Source organism: Homo sapiens, chromosome 16, assembly GCF_000001405.40.
Source record: "Homo sapiens chromosome 16, GRCh38.p14 Primary Assembly".
Classification (NCBI taxonomy): domain Eukaryota; kingdom Metazoa; phylum Chordata; class Mammalia; order Primates; family Hominidae; genus Homo; species Homo sapiens.
The window spans coordinates 15,640,241-15,659,950 of NC_000016.10; the positions used below are offsets into that span (position 1 = coordinate 15,640,241).

At 46.6% G+C, this 19,710-nt stretch overlaps 2 protein-coding genes and 1 non-coding gene across 54 annotated transcripts in view, besides 3 other annotated features; 2 read left to right on the forward strand and 1 right to left on the reverse strand.

Annotated features, from left to right (window-relative positions):
• Positions 1-2,914, reverse strand: part of MARF1 (meiosis regulator and mRNA stability factor 1) — a 48,768-nt gene extending 45,854 nt beyond the window's left edge. For 23 of the 31 annotated variants that reach the window (XM_047434955.1, XM_047434954.1, XM_047434950.1 and 20 more), the window contains exon 1: positions 2,778-2,914. The gene's annotated coding sequence lies outside the window, so the exon portion shown is untranslated. Of the gene's footprint in view, positions 1-2,218; positions 2,383-2,777 lie in introns of those variants that run through there. The other 8 variants (XM_047434947.1, XM_047434944.1, XM_047434942.1 and 5 more) reach the window with 1 other exon arrangement.
• On the forward strand, positions 3,054-3,132 carry MIR484 (microRNA 484). Its single transcript, NR_030159.1, has one exon. It is a non-coding gene; the product is annotated as a microRNA 484 (primary transcript).
• Positions 3,142-19,710, forward strand: part of NDE1 (nudE neurodevelopment protein 1) — an 82,972-nt gene continuing 66,403 nt past the window's right edge. For 12 of the 22 annotated variants that reach the window (NM_017668.3, XM_017023353.3, XM_017023349.3 and 9 more), the window contains exon 1: positions 10,005-10,054. Coding sequence is in view for 7 of the 22 variants with exons in the window: in XM_047434261.1 (XP_047290217.1) it covers positions 3,635-3,687 (53 nt within the window). In the remaining 15 variants the exon portion in view is untranslated. Of the gene's footprint in view, positions 3,688-9,107; positions 9,230-10,004; positions 10,055-11,775; positions 11,811-19,710 lie in introns of those variants that run through there. The other 10 variants (XM_047434261.1, XM_047434259.1, XM_047434264.1 and 7 more) reach the window with 4 other exon arrangements.
• Positions 9,706-10,207: an enhancer, noted in NCBI's record as "H3K27ac hESC enhancer chr16:15743803-15744304 (GRCh37/hg19 assembly coordinates)". NCBI's record gives its function as "activates a minimal SCP1, AML or CMV promoter by ChIP-STARR-seq in primed H9 embryonic stem cells {active_cell/tissue: H9 hESC(primed)}" and the evidence as "EXISTENCE:reporter gene assay evidence [ECO:0000049][PMID:30033119]".
• Positions 10,208-10,707: an enhancer, noted in NCBI's record as "H3K27ac hESC enhancer chr16:15744305-15744804 (GRCh37/hg19 assembly coordinates)". NCBI's record gives its function as "activates a minimal SCP1, AML or CMV promoter by ChIP-STARR-seq in primed H9 embryonic stem cells {active_cell/tissue: H9 hESC(primed)}" and the evidence as "EXISTENCE:reporter gene assay evidence [ECO:0000049][PMID:30033119]".
• Positions 13,072-13,366: a silencer, noted in NCBI's record as "tiled region #7034; K562 Repressive non-DNase unmatched - State 14:Gen5'". NCBI's record gives its function as "represses a minimal TATA promoter and a strong SV40 promoter by Sharpr-MPRA in K562 cells {active_cell/tissue: K562}" and the evidence as "EXISTENCE:reporter gene assay evidence [ECO:0000049][PMID:27701403]".

Consider the following 19,710-nt stretch of genomic DNA (forward strand, 5'->3'; position numbering starts at 1 on the left):
TCTGTGGACTTTGAATTTGATTTGCTACAGAACAAATTGAACCAATTTCTTAGTTTACTAATGATGAAAGTGCAATCTGATATACCACCAAAAATCTAACTGATAGAAAAATCTCAAGTCGCAGATGTGTTATATCTACGCCAGAGCAACAACACTCTTACAGGTCTTAACAATAAATGCAAGCGAGGCACCGTGGCTCAGGCCTGCAATCCCAGCACTTTGGGAGGCCAAGGTGGGTGGATTGCTTGAGCCCAGGAGTTCCCAACCAGCCTGGGCAACATGGCAAAACCCCATGGCTACAAAAAATTAGCTGAGCGTGGTGGTGCATGCCTGTAGCCCCATCTACTCAGGAGGCTATGGTGGAAGAATCACCTAAGACTGCGTAGTCAAGGCTGCAGTGAGCTGTGATTGCACCACTGCACTGCAGCCTGGGCGACGGAGTGAGACCCTGTCTCAAAAACCAACAAACAAAATTACATGAAATTAAAATGTCAGTGTCCATAAATAAAGTTTAATTGGGACACAGACACACTCATTCACTTAAATACTGCCTATGACTGCTTTTGCATTCCAATTGCAGAGTTGCAAAGAGAGTCTCTGCAAAGAGACTGTATGGCCCACAAAGCCTATATTTACTACGTGGCTCTTTTGTCAGCCTGGGCAATATAGCAAGATCACAGCTCTAAAATAAAATAAAGTTCAAAAAATTAGCATAGTGTGGCAGCATGCGCCTAGTCCCAGCTACTAGAGAGACTGAGGTAGGAGGATCTCTTGAGCCCAAGAATTTGAGGCTACAGTGAACTATATTGTGCCACTGGCCCTTCAGCGTGGGCAACAGAGTGAGATTCCATCTCTAAAAAAATTTTTGTTTTCAAGTTTCTGTTTCCTCCTATGCAAAATGTGGCTAATTTCTCCCCGCCACTGCATTACAGAGAAAAAAAAAATTAGATAAATGAACCCCACTGTCTATTTTCACCACTGTATCTCTTGTGCCAACCAAAATGCTCCCTACTCTGTAAATACAAAGTAAACATTACCTACTACACACTATTGGGAGTGGTTAATTTGGAGATGGATTTAACTGCTACCACTGATAGTAAATTACGATTCTTGTCTTTCCTATTAGATACAGGTTTTATGTCCCCCAAAAAACTCCTCTCAAAATCGTAAGAATCTGTGATATTCACAGTGTTCATAACTTAAACATTCTCTCAAACTTCTTCAAAGCCAAATCCTGAAAGTGAGCTAACATTCACAGTATAATCTAGTTTATAAAGTATTTTCACTTAACATTACTTATGTCTTCATTCAGCAAATATTTACTTAGTATCTACTATGCAGCAGGCCTGTGCTTGGCACAAGGAATATAATGATGAAAAAAACCCAGACGGTGGGATCCTCTTATATAATTTTTGCAATAATCCTGTGAAATAGACAGGGGAGAAATTAGCTACATTTTTGCAGAGAGAGAAAAAGAAACTTAATGAAGTTTTGTAGCGAGCCTGACACAAGATTAGGCTTGTTCACCCCTTTCCACTACATCAAGGTGCCTTCAATACTGCTCAATACAAGCGATTAAAAGTAAAAACTTTCAGGTGCCTGCACCCTGAAAACTTCCCAAATACCATCCACGAAGCAACTTAGGTAGCCAAAAGCAGGTTCTGTTTGACTTGAGCGACAGTCTCCTTTCTGTCACTCTCTTCAAGTCTTTTGACCAATTCAATGAGGAGAGCATAGGCTCTGTCGACTGTCTGCATTTTGGTCTCCAATTTGACTGCGGTGCAGCTTTGGACAACTCACAACCTCTCTGAACCTCAGATCCCATCTCTAAAATGGGTGTGATAATAATAGAAACCACCTTACAAGGCCGTTGTTTGGATTACATGAGGTAATCCACGGGGAACATTTAGCAAATGTTGTTTCCTTAGCACCCAATCTAGTCTTTGACCCCACACCACCCCATCCCATTACCGTTTTCTCCCCCATAGCTCTTCTGTCCAAAACGGCCTTTTTAGCTTATTTTATTATCTTTCTCCCCCATTAGGCTATAAACTCCATGACAGCAGAGACTATGTTTTCTTATCCACTATTCCAACTCCTGTCCTTAGTACAATGCCTGGCATATTTTAATAAATAACTGTTGAACGAATAAAGCTTAATAAATAGGAAAACAGTTTAGGTTTCAATACACCGATATGCAAAAGAGAAGAATATTTACCGCTCAGAGAAGTCCAAAAGACACAAATGCAATTGGACAGCTCTTGGTAATACCGGAAAGGTGCTTGAGAAACTCTAAAAGGTGTATCACGAGGTCGCGTTACAACTACTAGTGAGAGTGGCTGAAGCCCTAGACATTGTCAACCCTGAGACTACACCCTATGTGTTGCTAAAAGGCCGAGGAGAATGCAAAACGGCCGGGGAGGGGGGAGTGTGTTGCAAAAACACCCGCCCCTTTCCTTCTCTCTTAACCTTCCAGCTGTGCACTTCACTCCTGGAGGGCCCCACCAGGGGTCAGACAGGGGCGGGCGGGGAGCCAAATGCCCTCGAAGGGGAACAGCGGCGCCAACAGTGACAGTAGTGAATGGACCCGAAAGGGAGACAAGCCAACTCTTTCGTGGGGGGCCCAACTGGCGCGTCCCAGTTAGCTAACCTCCCCTCTCCACCACCATCCCACCAGCAATAGGCGGGGAAAGAGGGGACACTGTCCTCCGTCCCGCCCCGCTGGCCTCGGAGCAGAGCCTGCCGGGGTCTGGTCGCAGGACTGTCTGCAAACTCACCTCTGCCGCCGGCTCCACCTCCGCTCACATTCCGGCCCCGCCGCCTTCCCCCCGCCCCCCCCAGGCCCTTTGTTTTGATTCCCGACTCCGCAGCTCCCGCCGCCGCCGCCAAGCGCACCCTTCACTTCCGCTTCCGCACCGCACCGCCCCTGTCGCAAAACCGACGCCCTTCTCTCCTCTTCGCCCCGCCCCTTCCTCGCCCCGCCTCCGCCGCCGCGTCCTGTCCGCGCGGGGCATGCTGGGAACCCCGGGGGGGGCGGGGCCTCGCGGCCCTGCAGCCTCGTCAGGCTCAGTCCCCTCCCGATAAACCCCTAAATAGGGACTTTCCCGGGGGGTGACCCTGGCTTTTTTGGCGAAAACCCCCAGTTTAAGGAGGCCTTCCCCCTGGCTTCACGTTGTGGAGTCGAAAGGAACCTTGAAGCGGAGAATGAGCTCGTGACGTGGACCCGAGGAAAAAACCTGCCAACCAGGATTTAATAGAATTCAGCTCTTTCAGGCTTTGGAGGGAAGGCGATTTGAACGGGATTTCAATGAAAAACCCTGTCCCTTCGGCTTTTTTTTTTTCCTCTCTCGGGTCTCGTCACGTGATGGTCCTACTTTATTTTTAAAAATTAAATGGCGCATATTCCCCAGCATCCTAAATCTAGTGCAACCTAGTGGCAAGTGGAGAAAAAAATAACTGCCAACCTGGCTTCCTACGAGGTCCCCCGGAGTTCTCGCAAAGTTGCGACCCAGTTGGCAAAAATACAGTGTGTGCAAAGACTCAACTGGACATTGCCACCAAGAATCAAGAGATTTTTGGGGACTTTAGCAAGAAAACGTTATTTTTAAAAGCCCTGCTCCAAAGCTGGTTACAAATGAATACTGCGTTTCCAGTGACAGGTTGGGCGAGCAGAAAGGAAATCTTACGGTTAGTTTCAAACACTTTGTGTTTTAGGTGGCCAGATATGCTGTGTGGTTTGCTTTAAAAAAAAAAATAGCGCCCCACAATCTTCACGTTTCCCTGGAATAAAAAAAAATTTAAGACTCAGCAAAAGGGTGATTTCTGAAACTACCAGCTGATTACTATTTTCTGTTGCAAATTAGGAAAAAAGCAAAGCACATATTGTGTAAGTTAAATCTAGACACGATTTAGGATGTGCTAGCTGCTAGCTAAATGCTACCTTAGGAGTTTATTTTTAAAGTTTGCCCAGAAACAAGTTGACTTTGCAAAAGAATCAGTAAGTCGAAATTGCCAAACGAGAATATTTTGCCCAAAAAAATCCTTACTGGGAGGTTATTTCAATAGGCAATCCCCATTACGTGGGGATTAACACATCCCTGTAAACATCCCTGTAGACGGGTATTGTGGAGGGCAGGATCAGACATGTAGCTGAAGAATCCTTTGTGCCTGTATTTAATTTTCCAGAAGGCAGATGACAAGCACACATCCTCTCCCTGCGTAGGTATTTATTACTGCTGACTAAATCTTGACTGTGGGCTGGGCGCAGTGGCTCAGGCCTGTATTCCCAATACTTTGAGAGGCTACGGAGGGAGGATCTCTTGAGCCTACAAATTTGAGACTAGACTGGGAAACGGTGAAACCCTATCACTATTTAGAAAAGAAAGAAAAAGAAAAAAATCTTCATTATGTCTGTGTATAGGTAGTATTTTCCAAGTGGAGATTAGAATAGATGAAAAACCCGTTTCTAGCGTTTTGGCTTTTTTCAAAGTACCAAACAAATACGCTACTCTTCAGAGGTGTTTTTTCCCCATTTTATTTCAGTTGAGTATGTTTCAACACAAGCCATATTAACTAAAAATCTTAAGAAACAAGGTAATTGTAGGTTTCTAATTGCTTTTTTTAAAAAATAGTTTTTAGCCAGAAAACATCAAAGAATGCAGACACATTTCCTTTTTACTTTTTTTTTTTTTTTTTTTGAGACAAAGTCTTGCTTCATTGCCCAGGCTGGAGTGCAGTGGCAGGATCTTGGCTCACTGCAGCCTCCACCTCCCGGGTTCAACCGATTCTCATGCCTCAGCCTCCTGAGTAGCTAGGATTACAGGCGCCCACCACCATGCCTGGCTAATTTTTGTGTTTTTAGTAGAGACGGGATATTGCCATGTTGGCCAGGCTGGTCTCGAACTCCTAGCCTCAAGTGATCCTCCCGCCTCGGCCTCTTTAGGATTACAGGGCTGAGCCAACGAGCTTGACCACATTTTCTTTATATGTATATTTTTCTTTTAGATTCCTTTTTACCAAGCAGACACATTTTGTTTGACTTAGCTTGGCATTCTTTCAAGTCCAAAGCTGTAACTAGTCACAACAAGTAAATGTAGTGATTGAAAATGGGCGGGGCATGGTGACTCATGTCGTAATCCCAGCACTTTGGGAGGCTGAGACAGGAGGACCCCTTGAGGCTTGGTGTTTAAAACCAGCCTGAGCAACATGGTGTGACACTTGTCTCTATTAAAAAAATTTTTAAAAACAAAACAGTCGTATTAAGTGGAAGGCTAATAAAAGTCTGAATTACAAATACTTTTAAAAGAAATGTAATTTTATTGCTGCTTTCTAAAGACTAGGAGCCTAAGCAAAGTATACCAGGCCTTAGGAGACAATTATGAATCAAAATACATAAATTTTCTCTTAAGATATATTTTAAGTATGTATCCTCTATTAATTGTATTCCTGTTTCTTTGCTGGGAAAACTTTAGAGAGTACAAGTAACTTTCAGTTTTTCCCTTGTCCAAATTATAGTCTTCACATGTATGAAAACCGAAAGACTTTTTTGTGTGCTATTTAAGTAGCTACTTTACATGCAATTCAGCTTTTCAACTAACCAAGCTGTTATTAAAGGAGTTTCTCCCCAGAAACCAATCTTCTACCTGTATTAGGTTCAGTGGTTTGAATTAATAAATGATCATGGAAGGACCTAAGGAAGTTAAATTGAGTTATCTGCTCAGCCATAGTCCAAAGCTACAAGGAAAACAAATTGAATTTAAAAAGAACAAGAAAAACATTTTAAATGTTTTTAAGGTTTTACCCAATGACAAACCTATTTCCCTAAATGTTGTTCCCAAATAGGACTTTAAGGATTATTATTTCAATGCCCTCTCTTTTTTCTTTATGGAAAATTTGGGAAATTGAGAACCAACTAGTTTAAATACCTTGATCAAAGCCATTTAGGCAACACCAGTACCTCATCAGTTTGTGCTTCGGTTTCTCTGTAAGCTGAGGTGATTAGTTCCTGTCCAGAAACGTCACAGAGTGGTTAGGGCCAAATAAAATTCCGAGGGGGGCCAGGCGCAGTGGCTCACGCCTGTAATCCCAGCACTTTGGGAGGCCGAGGCAGGTGGATCACTTGAGGTCAGGAGTTCGAGACCAGCCTGGCCAAACCAACATGGTGAAACCCTGTGTCTACTAAAACTACAAAATTAGCTGGACGTGGTGGTGCACACCTGAAATCCCAGCTACTCAGGAATCTGAGGCAGGAGAATCGCTTGAACCCAGGAGGAAGAGGTTGCGGTGAGCCGAGATCGTGCCACTGCACTCCAGCCTGGGCAACAGAACGAGACTCCGTCAAAAAAAAGAAAAAAAAAATCCAAGGGGGGTTAATACCAGCTACTTGGTAGGCTGAGGCAGGAGAATCGCTTGAACTGGAAGGTGGAGGTTACAATGAGCCGAGATCGCACCACTGCACTCTAGCCTGGGCGACAGAGTGAGATTCCATCTTAATGAATAAGTAAATAAGTAATAAAATTCCTAAGGGGAGGCTTGGTGTGGTGGCTCATGCCTGTAATCCCAGCACTTTTGGAGGCTGAGGCGGGTGGAGCACTTGAGGTCAGGAGTTCAAAACCAGCCTGGCCAACATGGTGAAACCCTGCCTCTACTAAAATAGAAAAATTAGGTGGGCATGGTGGTGAACACCTGTAATCCCAGCTAGTCGAAAGGCTGAGGCAGGAGAATCGCTTGAACCCGGGAGGTGGAGGTTGCAGTGAGCCGAGATTGCAGCACTGCACTCTAGCCTGGGCAACAGAGTGAAACTCTGTCTCGAAATAAAATAAAATTCCAAGGGGGAAGGCATCAGACGTAGTAAAGTGTGAAGCAGCATGTAAATGATTCATTAATGTTTGGGAAGTTTCCTGAAAGACATTTGGTACTTTCCTTAAACCTGTTGATAGGTGGTGGGGTTCCCCTTTGTGCCTCTAAGCAGTTTTTAGGAATTAGCAAGGAGTTCAAAGTAGAATTTGAGAAAGGCTGTTGTAGGATAGCAGGAAGGCAAGATGGGGTGGGAGATCCTGTAATAGCTAAGATCTCTTTGCCTCTAGCATAGTGCTGAAGAAGGAGGGTTTAGGAGTCAGAGCCAGCTCTGAAGCCTGATTTGTTAATTACTAGTTGTAAGACCTCGGACAACTCAATTAACTTCCTGCACCTTTATTTTCTTATCTTTAACATGGATACAATTTAATGCTTTCCTGTGGTTCATCACCTGTGGTTCAGTTGCATGGTCTCCTCTCTACAGTGGCCTTCCCTGACTATAGCATCTGAAGTGACCCCTCCCAGCCCGTTGTATCAAATGGGCTTGCCTTAGTCATAGCACTTATCAGTATCTGAAATGACGTTACTTTTTCTGCTTATAGATTTAGTATGTTTCTCTCTTAACAATATAAGCCCTTTGAGGACAGGTACTTTGTCTGACTGTATTCACTGTGCTGTAAGGGTGCATTGTACAGAAGAATGCTCATAATGCCGGGTGCTGTGGTTCATGCCTATAATCCCAGCACTTTGGGAGGGAGGCTGAGGCAGGAGGATCACTTGAGCCCAGGAGTTCAAGACCAGCCTGGGCAACATAGTGAGATCCACGTCTCTACAAAAAAATGTAAAAATTAGCTGGGCGTGTTGGTGCACACCTGTGGTCCTAGCTACTCCGGAGGATGAGGTGGGAGGATCACTTGAGCCTGGGAGGTCCAGGATGCAGTGAGCTTTGATTATGCCACTGCACTCCAGCCTATGTCACAGGGTGAGACTCTGTCTCACAAAAAAAAAAAAAAGCTGGATAATAATATATATATTTTTAGTTTTTATGGGTACACTGTAGGTGTTTATATTTATGGGGTACATGAGATATTTTGATAACAGGCATGCAATGCATCATAATCACATCAGGGTAAATGGGTGTCCATGACCTCAAGCATTTATCCTTTCTTTGTGTTACAAGCACTCCAATTATACTCCTTTAGTTATTTTAAAATGTACAATACATTGTTGTGGACTGTAGTCACCCTGCTGTGCTCCCAAATACTAGATCTTATTCATTCTAACTCTATTTTTGTACCCACTAACCAGAATGTTCGGTATTTGTTAATGAACATGTTATGACAGGATGTTTTAGAAGAAAATAAAGAAAAAAAGAAATTCCAGCCAAGCATGGTGGCTTGATTTTATTTATTTATTTATTTTGAGATGAAGTCTCCCTCTGTCTCCCAGGCTGGAATGCAGTGGCGTGATCTCCACTCACCGCAACCTCTGCCTTCTGAGTTACATGGCTCACGCCTGTAATCCCAGCACTTTGGGAGACTGAGGTGTATTGCTTGAGGTCAGGAGTTCGAGACCAGCCTGGCCAACACAGTGAAACCGTGTCTCTACTAAAAATACAAAAAATTAGCTGGGCGTAATGGTGGGCGCCTGTAATCCCAGCTACTAGGGAGACTAAGACAAGAAAATCGCTTGAATCTGGGAGGCAGAGGTTGCAGTGAGCCGAGATCGCACCATTGCACGCCAGCCTGGGCAACAAGAGGGAAACTCTGTCTCGAAAAGAAAAAAATTATTTTTTAATTTTAATTTGTTAGTGAACAATTAGGGTTGCTGTGAGAATTGTGCCTGGCACACACAGCCATTTAAAAATCACGATCTTCAGGCAGTGTGTGGTGGCTCACGCCTGTAATCCCAGGACTTTGGGAGGCCGAGGTGGGTGGATCACCTGAGGACAGGGATTCGAGAGCAGCCTGGCCAACATGGTGAAACCCCGTCTCTACTAAAAATATAAAAATTAGCCGGGTGTGGTGATGCGGGCCTGTGATCCCAGCTACTCGGGAGGCTGAAGCAGGAGAATTGCTTGAACTCAGAAGGCAGAGGTTGCAGTGAGTGGAGATCACGCCACTGCATTCCAGCCTGGGAGACAGAGGGAGATTTCATCTCAAAATAAATAAATAAACAAAATCAAGATCATTTAACAAATACATATATTGTACTTACTAAGTTCAAATTTCTGTTCTAAACGTTTTTACAAATGCTGTTAAGTCATTTAGTCCTCTGCATAATGTCGTTTGTTTGTTTGTCTGTTCTTTAAGACGGAGTCTTGCCCTGTCGCCTAGGCTAGAGTGCAGTGGTGTGATCTCGGCTCACTGCAACCGCCACCTCCCGGTTTCCCGTGATTCTCCTGCCTCAGCCTCCTGAGTAGCTGGGATTACAGGTGCGTGCCACCACATCCGGCTAATTTTTTGTATCTTTAGTAGAGACGGGGTTTCACCATGTGCCAGGCTGGTCTTGAACTCCTGACCTCGTGATCCACCCGCCTTGGCCTCCCAAAGTGCTGGGATTACAGGCGTGACCACCGCGCCAGACCCATAATGGCGTTTTATAGATGGGGAAACGGAGTCATAGAGGCTAAACAACTTTCCCAAGACCACACAGTTAGTAAGGGGCAGGACTAGGACTCAAAGCCAAGTTTATGACCAAATTCTGGTGCACTACGTTCTCCTGCTTCTGGAGAAGATAATGATGCTGAAGATTCTACTTTTGGTGTAAAGGAGTAGGAAGGGCACGGGGCACTGCTAGCTTCAGTGGGCCTGAATCTTTGTCTTTCCTTCTGATTTGGAGAAAGTGCAAGAATGGGAAAATGCAATCGAAGTGAAGGAGAGGCCGGCGTATTTTCCTGAAATGCGCGGCCCGCAAGCCCAAACCCGTTTCCCGGGTGTCCAGGCAGCGTTCTGCAGCATCTCCAATGCCCGCCAGCCCGCCGCAGCCCAGCGCCCGGCAGCCGGCGCCTCTCAAACCCCCTCCGGCCAGGAGCCTTCGCCGCTTGGCCGCGCCGCGCCCGGCCTGGGAAAAAAGTTTCCAAACGACGCTGCTCTGCGCTGATTGGCCGAGGCGGACGCGGTACCGTAGAGCAGCAGCCAATGGGAGGCGCCGACCGCAGGCTCCGGGGCGGGGGCGGGGTCCGGAGGGCCGGGGCCGCACCGCCCTTCGCAGCCGCCTCTGCCGCCGCCGCCGCGTTGGCCTCGCCGCCCCTGCTCGGGTAAGTGAGGCGCTGCGCGGGGCTGGGGTCGGGGTGGCTGTCCGGGGACCTCCACCGCGGCTGAAAAGCTCCTCTGCCCCGCCCCAGGATCCCGGGACCCCGGGCCACCGCCTGGCAGGGACCCCTACGCCCCTCGCTTGCGCGTCGCTTCCCGGCCGCCTGGACTCCCCCGGTCCCTGGGCTCCAAAATCCCGCCTCCCTGGAGCCTCCCGTCCTAAAAAGTTAGGCACTGAGTGCCTTGCCACCGGTGCGTTCCTCGCGCTGGCCCCTCGCCCTTGGCAACTTTGTTTCTCTTTCTGCGTTGGTCTCTCTCCCACCCCGTTGCCCTCTTCTCCTTCCGGGACTTCCTGGGTGGTTAAGCCTTGCCGGTCCCCAAACCCCGCTGCCAGGCTCCATCCTCTTTCTCCTCTTCCTTCCTCCCCATACTCCTCTCCTAGATGACCCTCGTTTCTTTTCTCTCTCTCTCCTATTCCTCCATCCTGCCACCCGCTTCTCTGCGACCCCAGACCCCTCGATTGCAGCGTTGCCCCTGCCCTCACACCCACTGTCCCGCCCCTGCAGGCCTCTTTCCAAAAACCCACCCTGCTCCCTCCCTCCGGGAACACGTTTGGGGCAGTCTGCTCTCCGCTTTGCTCCCGTCTCTGCCGCAGGACGGTTCAGGTTTCTTCTGACAGCACTTTGGGGAGGGATTGGGTAAAGGACGAAAATGCTTATTCCGCAGCTTGAGTGATGGCTGGGCTCACTGAGGACCTGAGTCTCTGAGGTCCTGGGAAACCCCGCTGTCACCTTGACACCGCTTTTGGGGAGGCGACTTTATCTTCTCCGAGCCATCTCAGGCTTTCTGCCTCCTGAGGGCCTGAGCTTCCTTGATTGCTTTGTCCGTGGTTACTACCAGGTTGTGCCTCTTAATTTCTACTTTGAGCCTCAGGCCCCTTTTAACTTTCTAAAGAAAAGGCCTTTGCAGCACGACCTAGGCAGGTTCATCATTTTTAGTTTTGTTATAGTGTATTCTAGCATAGGATGGCATTTTAGGACATGGGTCGGGTGTTTTGAAGATTAATTAGATCCCAGCTACTCCTAAAGCCTCTTGTTACCCGACCACCCCAGCCTCCATCACCTCGTTGGTATACAACCCGTTTTTTTTTTTTTTTTTTTGTTTTTGTTTTTGAGACAGAGTCTCACTCTCGCCCAGGTTGGAGTGCAGTGGTGCGATTTTGGCTCACTGCAACCTCCGCTTCCCGGGTTCAAGCGATTCTCCTGCCTCAGCCTCCGGAGTAGCTGGGACTACAGGTGCGTGCCACCACGCCTGGCTAATTTTTTGTATTTTTAGTAGAGATGGGGTTTCACCGTGTTAGCCAGGATGGTCTCGATTTCCTGACCTCGTGATCTGCCCCCTCGGCCTCCCAAAGTGCTGGGATTACAGGCGTGAGCCACCGTGCCGGCCTACAACCCATTTTGAGCCTTTCCTCTTAGTGTGTGTTTTGTGTAGGATTAAATGCAGATGATCTGTGCCGCTGAAGTCTCAGGGGCCTGTGATTCATATATTTTATCCCATGTTGGATAACAGTTTATTAACTTGACTTATTTTTGTTTCCAAAGTGTGTTATTTATTATTTATTTATTTATTTATTTTGAGACGGAGTCTTGTTCTTGTCCAGGCTGGAGTGCAGTGGCATGATCTCGACTCACTGCAACCTCAGTCCTCCGGGTTCAAGTGATTCTTCTGCCTCACCCTCCTGAGTAGCTGGGATTACAGGTGCGTGCCACCATGCCCGGCTAATTCTTAGTAGAGATGGGGTTTCACCATATTGGCCAGGCTGGTCTCAAACTTCTGACCTCGTGATCTGCCCACCTCAGCCTCCCAAAGTGTTGGGATTACAGGCATGAGCCACTGCACCCGACTCTATCATTATTATTATTTTTTATGTAGAGGCAGAATCTTGCTTTGTTGCCCAGGCTGGTCTCAAATTCCTGGGCTCAAGCAGTCCTCCTGCCTTGGCCTCCCACAGTGCTGAGATTACTTGCAGGCATGAGCCACTGCATGCAGCCCAAAGTGTGTTCTTTTGCCTTAGAATGTGAGCCGAGAATTGACACTCCTTTTCCTCACAAGGTAATTTCCTAACATGAGCATTCCTGTGTACAGAAAGTTTGTGCCTGCAGTTAGTACTACACGTGCACCTCGTGCAATGGATGTGGGTGCTTTTTGTCTGCCTCCTTCAGCAGTGCCCAGCACTTAGTAGGTATTCAAGAAATGTTTGAAAAGGGTTGGAGGAGGCAAAACCACAGTAGGAAAAATTCTTTCCCTGTCACTTGGTTCAGTAGAATAAAATTATCCTGGAACAATAGCTATTTTACTTTTTGTCCAAGTTTTTGTTTGTTTGTTTTTTGAGACGGGATCTCACTCTGTCGCCCAAGCTGGAACACAGTGATGCAATCACAGCTCACTGCAGTCTCGACCTCTCAGGCTCAAGCAATCCTCTTGCCTGAGCCTCCCAAGTAGCTGGGACTAAAAGCACATGCCACCATGCTTGGCTAATTTTTAAAATTTTTTGTAGAGATTGGGGTCTCACTATGTTGCCCAGGCTGGTCTCGAACTCCTGGGTTCAAGCGATCCTTCCGCCTCAGCCTCCCAACGTGCCGGGGTGGGAGAGAGCCACCGCGCCTGGCCTAAGCTTTTTAAAATCTCTAAAGCGATCTATGCTTACTGTATATATGTGTATGTAGTTTACCTTAAAGCAAGGTGTCAGGTACAAATCCACAGGGCTTGCTTTACCCCCATTCTGGTGCATCCTCCAGACCCTTTTCTATTCTGTGTACAGAGAGAGGGAAATAAACAAAAATGGGCACCCATTTTTAACATATCCTGAGCTTTCTTCCATATTAGTACTTACAGTTCTTAACAACTGCATCGTTTTCCATTCAGTCCTCTGTTGACATTGAGGTTTCCAGTTTTCCACATTCGTGAATGATGGTGTGCATCTTTGAACATGGGTCCTTGCCTGCCTAAGTATTTTTGTAGGTTGATCATTGTAAACTTGGAAAGCACAAAGACAGAAGCCAGGCTTGCTGACTCTTGACTGATGTTGCCCCAGTGATGTCACTCCTGCAAAATGCAAAGCCTGCGTCCTGGCTGTCGGAGCATGTGTGGACATTTGGCAGCTTCTTTCTCTTCCCTCCTGCTCTTCTGTTTGTTTTGATTGGGAAGGATATGGAGTGGGGATGGAGAAGGGTGTTGAGTAATTATCGATGGTTTCTGTATGTTTATTGCTCCTGACTAGCAGTGCTGGGTTTCTTCTCTCAGAGGAAAGCTGAAAGAGATTGCTTTGCTTTTTTCCAGAGTTTTAAAATCAGAGGTGTGTGTCTCGAGTGTATTTTCAGACTTTTTTGTTAGCTTTAATCATGTAAAACATGCAAAAAAAAAAAAAGCATGTGGAAACAATTTTTTTTTTTTGAGACGGGTTCTCGCTCTGTCACACAGGCTGGAGTGCTGTGGGGCGATCTCGGCTCACTGCAACCACCGCCTCCCATGCTCAAGTGATCCTCCCACCTCAGCCTCCTGAGTAGCTGGGACCACAGGTGTGCATCACCACACCTGGCTAATTTTTTTGTGTTTTTGGTAGAGATGGGGTTTCACCATGTTGCCCAGGCTGGTCTCTTATCTGCTGACCTCAGGTGATCTGCCTGCCTCACCCTCCCAAAGTGCTGGGATTACAGGCATGAGCCACCACACCCGGCCGGAAACAAATTTTTGAAGGAGGCATAGATCTCTGTTGTGCAAAATAGATACTTTTTGTACCACTGGGTCCTAGTTTGTCATTGTTCCTTGCATGATCCCATCAGATTTGTCTACAGAGCTGCTGGGGCATGATGGTGTGGTGGCGTATTAAGAACGCAGGTTAGTGGCACACAGATGAAATAAATGCATGTGGGGTGCATTTTTAAGATAGCAGGTGCAAAGTTGTATATACTGAGACCAGGCATTAACACTTGCCTATTACAGTGCCTTTTAAAACACTATGTGAGGGCCGGGTGCAATGGCTCACACCTGTAATCCCAGCACTTTGGGAGGCCTAGGTGGGCAGATCACCTGAGGTCAGGAGATCGAGACCAGCCTGGCCAACGTGGCGAAACCCCGTCTCTCCTAAAAATACAAAAAATTAGCCAGTCGTGGTGGCATGCACCTGTAATCCGAGGTACTAGGGACGCTGAGGTAGGAGAATCGCTTGAAGCTGCGAGGCAGAGGTTGCAGTGAGCTGAGATCACACCACTGCACTCCAGCCTGGGCAACAGAGAAAGAGATTCCGACTCAAAAAAAAAAAAAACAAAAAAAAAAAAAACAAAACTGGACCAAATGAAACAAGTGAATCTGATCTGCAGTCAGTCAGTTTGCAACCCCTGGGAAGCCTTGGACTTGAATGCAAAGATCCCTTGAACTTGGATCTAGTTTGCCTCTGCTGCTCACATGCACATTTAGAGATGGCCAAGGCATACGGTGTTTCTGCTTCCAAGAAACAGAGTGGTTGTCCTGTTTAGCCATCTCTTACAGTCACACAGCTTAAAGAAGATAATGTTTGCAAACAATTTTTGAAATGTCTAGCACACAGCAAACAGAAGGTCAAATTCAGTACTTAATGCTGATAAAATAAGAGAACCCTTGCAAGTCATGTTGCCTGCTTTCTGCCACAGAGAGTACTGCAATAGAACTTTCTGACGTTTTCATGTTGTTTATTTATTTATTTTTTGAGACAGAGTCTTGCTCTTGTGCCCAGGCTGGAGTGCAGTGGTACAATTTCTGCTCACTGCAACCTCTGCCTCTGGGTTCAAGCAATTCTTGGGCCTCAGCCACCCAAGTAGCTGGAATTATAGGTGCGCTCTACCACACCTGGCTAATTTTTGTGTTTCTAGTAGAGACAGGGTTTCACCATGTTGCCCAGGCTGGTCTTGAACCCCTGGGCTCAAGCAATCCACCCACCTCAGCCTCCCAAAGTGCTGGGACTACAGGCGTGCATCGTGACGCCCTGCTGATTTGTGTATTTTTAGTAGAGACGGGGTTCACCTTGTGCTGGTCTCAAACTCCTGGGCTCAAGCAATCTGCCCACCTCAGTCTGCCAAAGTGCTGGGATTACAGGCGTGAGCCATCGTGCCCGGCCTCTCTCTGACATTTTTGAATGGCAAAGGCAAAAATCTTATACTTTTAAGGATGTGGAGAAATAGGAACACTTTTACACTGTTGGTGGGACTGTAAACTAGTTCAACCATTGTAGAAGTCAGTGTGGTGATTCCTCAGGGATCTAGAACTGGAAATACCATTTGACCCAGCCATCGCATTACTGGGTATATACCCAAAGGACTATAAATCATGCTTCTATAAAGACACATGCACACGTATGTTTATTGCGGCATTATTCACAATAGCAAAGACTTGGAACCAACCCAAATGTCCAGCAATGATAGACTGGATTAAGAAAACGTGGCACATATACACCATGGAATACTATGCAGCCATAAAAAATGATGAGTTCATGTCCTTTGTAGGGACATGGATGAAATTGGAAATCATCATTCTCAGTAAACTATTGCAAGAACAAAAAACCAAACACCGCATATTCTCACTCATAGGTGGGAATTGAACAACGAGAACACATGGACACAGGAAGGGGAACATCACACTCTGGGGACTGTTGTGGGGTGGGGGGAGGGGGGAGGGATAGCATTGGGAGATATACCTAATGCTAGATGACGAGTTAGTGGGTGCAGCACACCAGCATGGCACATGTATACATATGTAACTAACCTGCACATTGTGCACATGTACCCTAAAACTTAAAGTATAATAATAATAAAGAAAAAGAAAAAAAAAGATTGCTGTTTTATGATAAAGTGAAGTGCAGCTGTTACTTCTTCCTTCTTTGCTTCCAGCATCTCTCTTCCCTAAGGATTGCTTTTAAAATGTAAGAGTTTTTGGTTGAAATGCTGTTCCTGTGGTTTTTGTCTCTTGGTTGGAGTGAAAGATTTTGCAGGCTGTGATACAAATCCAGTTCTCTGCTTATTTTCTCCTCAGTCCTTGAAATCCAAAACCAGATCCCTCCCATTGGCCCGTTGTAATTAGAACCTGCCCCACAATAGACGCACCTCCTAAAGCATCTCAGATTCATTTCTTTCCTGAGGATTAAGTTTTTAAACCTTCCTGGCCAAGATAACAGTGTTTTAAGAGGCTCTTTTCTTTTATTATTATTATTATTATTATTACTCTTTTCTTTTTTTGAGATGGAGTCTTGCTCTGTCACCCAGGCTGGAGTGCAGTGGCAGGATCTCTGCTCACTGGAACCTCCACCTCCCGGGTTCAAGAGTTTCTTCTGTTTCAGCCTCCTGAGTAGATGGGATTACAGGCATGTGCCACCATGCCCAGCTAATTTTTGTATTTTTAGCAGAGATGGGGTTTTACCATGTTGGCCAGGCTGGTCTCGAACTCCTGGCTTCAAGTGATCTACCCGCTGTGGCCTCCCAAAGTATCAGGATTACAGGCATGAGCCACAGCACCCTGCCAGGCTTGGGTGTTCAAGGAAGAGAAAGAAGGCAGTGTGGCTGGGACATAAGTGAATGAGAGGTGGTAGGGTAAGAAATGTGTAGAAAACTATGCAGGGGCCTGATCACATTGGATCTTGCACATCTTTTTCCAAACCTCAGGAGGAGTCATTCTGCTTTTGTTGTTACTGGTTCCTCACTTCCGCACTTTATTGTATGCTGACAACCTTCCATACCATGGGACTGAGACTGCCCTCAATAGTATCACCAATGTCTTTTTTTGTTTTTTTTTTTTGAGGCAGAGTTTCACTCTTGTCGTCCAGGTTGGAGTGCAATGGCGTGATCTTGGCTCACTGCAACCTCCGCCTCCTGGGTTCAAGCGATTTTCCTGCCTCAGTCTTCCGAGTAGCTGGGGTTACAGGAGCCTGCCACCACACCTGGCTAATTTCTTGTATTTTTAGTGGAAATGGAGTTTCACCATGTTGGCCAGGCTGGTCTTGAACTCCTGACCTCAGGTGAACCACCCGCCTTGGCTTCCCAAAGTGTTGGGATTACAGGCATGAGCCAACGCACCCAGCCACCAATATCTTAATGGCCACACAGTGCTCATTGATAGATGCCTTGGCCCTGGGCTATTGTTGCTATAGAATTGGTTTGATGAGTACATATTACATGAGATCTGGGCTCATTAGAGCTTATGGCTTGAGCAGGGACTCCTTGGCCTAGGTTTATGCTGCTCCTGGCCTTGTTAATGACTGCTATTAACACTCTACCCCCTTTTTATTTTTTTGAGATGGGGTCTTGTTCTGTCGCCCAGGCTGGGAGGCTGGAATGCAGTGATCTTGGCTCACTGCAGCCTCCGCTTCTCAGGCTTAAGTGATTTTTCCTGCTTCATCCTTCTGAGTAGCTGGGACTACAGGCACGCACCGCCGTGCCCGTTTGATTTTTGTTTTTGTTTTTTTAGTAGACACGGGGTTTCACCATGTTGCCCAGGCTGGTCTCAAACTCCTGACCTCAAGTGATCTGTCTGCCTCGGCCTCACAAAGGGCTGGGATTACAGGCATGAGCCATTGCGCCAGGCACCACTCTACCCTTTTGACTTTGAGCAAGTAAGGTCGTTGATTCCATACATTCATTAAGATTCCTGCGTGGCAGAAATCTAACCCCAACTGGTATAACCAAGACAAGGAATTGATTATCTCATAACCTTAAATCAGGTGTGGCTGCATCTAGGTGTTCAAATGATATTGTCAGGACCCAGGCTCTCCATCCCTTGGCCCAGCTTTCCTCTGTTTTGGCTTCACTCTGAGGCAGGCTCTCCCTTGTGATAGCAAGATGACCACCGGCAGTTTCAGGCTTACCTCCGGCTTCAGGCTTACCTCCAGCTTCAGGCTTACCTTACCAACCCTAGTGGAAAGAGAGTTTCATTTTTGACAGCTATGCAAAAGGTCTGGACCTGGGCCCTCACTGGCTTAGTATGGGTTAGGCCCATCCTTAAGCCAATCATTGGCTCAGCATGGGTTAGATCCGTGACTGTCACTGGCTGAGCATGGGGGTTAGGCTCACCCTATCATTGGCTCTGCGTGAATTAGGCCCACCTCTGTCACTGGCTCATCGTGGGTTAGGCCCACCCATGAGCTGATCACTAAGGTCGTGAATAGGCATATGCCTCTTCCCAGGTGTGGAGGATGATGTCAGATCCCTCTGAACTCATGAAATGAGTAGGGTATTCTCCCAAGGGAATATTGTGCTGTCACAGAAGATGGAAAAATGAATGCATGTCTGGAAAAAACAAGCAAAACTACAAATCATTAGCTTTATATGACATTTATTTATTTTTTGTTTATATGTTTTTGAAATGGAGTCTTGCTCTGTTGCCCAGGCTGGAGTGCAGTGGTGTGATCGTGGTTCACTGCAACCTCTGGCTCCCGGGTTCAAGCGATTCTCATGCCTTAGCCTCCCGAGTAGTTGGGATCATAGGTGCCTGCCACCACACCCAGCTAATTTTTGTGCTTTTAGTGTAGACAGGATTTTACCATGTTGGCCAAGCTTGTCTTGAACTCTTGACCTCAAGTCATCTGCCTGCCTCAGCTTCCCAAAGTGTTGAGATTACAGGCATGAGCCACCACGTCTGGCCAGCTTTGTATGACATTTCGCCTTTCTGCCTTGATCAAACTTTCAGAGAATCTGCTTTCCAGAGGGATGAGTGGGTCGGGAAATAGCATGTTTTCTCTGAATGAGGGAAAGGATTGAAAAAGTAGGAGGGAGAAAGGATGTGAATATGAGTCCCAACAAATGCAGAGTTATCGGTAAGTTTTGTGCTTGAATCTAGGTACAATTGTGCATTTCCTGGTTCTGCATGAATTAGGCCCACCTCTGTCATTGGCTCAACATGGGTGAGGCTCACTAACTTCCACCAGAAGTTAGTGGTGGTGTCTGTGTTGACACTTACATGTTTAGCCTAATGATTTCATGTTTTAACCAAAACTATATAGCTTGTTGGTTATATCTTAGAAAGTGATGGTTTTTGCTCATTCTTTTGTCCCCAGGGATACACACCAGCCTCTAAGTTCTCTTGAGGGAAGGAAGGGACCTTGCACACAATCTTTTTTTTTTTTTTTTTTTTTTTTTTTTTGAGAGGAAGTCTCACTCTGTCACCCAGGCTGGAGTGCAGTGGTGCGATCTCGGCTCACTACAACCTCTGCCTTCTGGGTTCAAGTGATTCTCCCGCCTCAGCCTCCCGAGTAGTGGGGATTACAGGCGCACACCACCATGCCCGGCTAATTTTTATATTTTTAGTAGAGATGGGGTTTCAGTGTGTTGGCCAGGCTGGTTTCAGACTCCTGAGCTCAGGTGATTCACCTGCCCTGGCCTCCCAAAGTACTGGGATTACAGGTGTGAGCCACTGCGCCCGGCCTTGGACACAATCTTTTTTTTTTTTTTTTTTGAGACGGAGTCTCGCTCTGTCACTCAGGCTGGAGTGCAGTGGCACGATCTCAGCTCATTGCAACCTCCACCTCCTGGGTTCAAGCAATTCTCCTGCCTTAGCCGCCTGAGTAGCTGGGACTACAGGTACCTGCCACTGCGCCCGCCTAATTTTTGTATTTTTAGTAGAGATGGGGTTTCACCAT